Raw genomic sequence first — 807 nt, 5'->3', positions numbered from 1 at the left:
GACTTTTCCTCCCACCCCCTAATACCACAAATTTAGTGGTAGAACCACAAGTAGAATTTCCAGTGAAGAACTCTCTACTAGATGACACTGAATCAAACCTAACAGTGCTATCAATTAAAATTCATGTACTCTGTTGCATAAACAGGCGATTACATAAGTTGTGTGCTGACGGAGCAGTGTTGAGACACGCTGTCTGGCAATTGGTCTCTCTCGTTTGGTTGCAAGTTTCAGTTTCCTGGCAAGTCTTGTTTCGCCGTCCATCTGGTACAAGTGAGCACAGCAAGACAGCCAGGGTGAGCAGAAAGCCCACAGATACAGGAAAAGGTACTTAGCTTGCAGGTGATGTCAGTTCTTTCAGACAACTAGTCACTTTTTCCTTTCTGAAACTAGATTACAACCTATTTGTCTTTGGAGAGTTGACTGCTAGTGACACTGAAATTTTGGCTTAATTTGCAGACTGGGATGATGAGCATCTATTTTAGCTTCTTAGGGACATGCATAGAGCTGCTTATCTTGCTTGGCACAGGACATAGTTCTACTTTACATAAAGGTAACCACTAAGATTGGCCTTACCAGGGAGGAGAATAGAAAGCTGCCTCTGAGAAGTGCCAAGCTGAGACCCACACTTACTACATTCTATCCAGGGCCAGTCCTGCCTCAGCCACCAGCACCAAGGTTACTACAGCCTGAGTTTAGGTCATGTAATTTCAGTCTCTTTGGCAGCTTCATTAACTCTGAGTTCAACTGCTTCATCTGTGAAATGAGAATAATAACATTTACCTTGCATGATTGTTTTAAAAATTAAAT

The 807-nt window shown here is 42.4% G+C and overlaps 1 annotated feature.

Moving 5' to 3' along the window:
* Nucleotides 429-478: an enhancer, noted in NCBI's record as "active region_3735". NCBI's record gives its function as "activates an Ori minimal core promoter by ATAC-STARR-seq in GM12878 lymphoblastoid cells {active_cell/tissue: GM12878}" and the evidence as "EXISTENCE:reporter gene assay evidence [ECO:0000049][PMID:35858748]".

Source organism: Homo sapiens, chromosome 10 (genome assembly GCF_000001405.40).
Source record: "Homo sapiens chromosome 10, GRCh38.p14 Primary Assembly".
In the NCBI taxonomy this organism is placed as follows: domain Eukaryota; kingdom Metazoa; phylum Chordata; class Mammalia; order Primates; family Hominidae; genus Homo; species Homo sapiens.
This window is presented reverse-complemented; position numbering and strand designations above follow the sequence as displayed.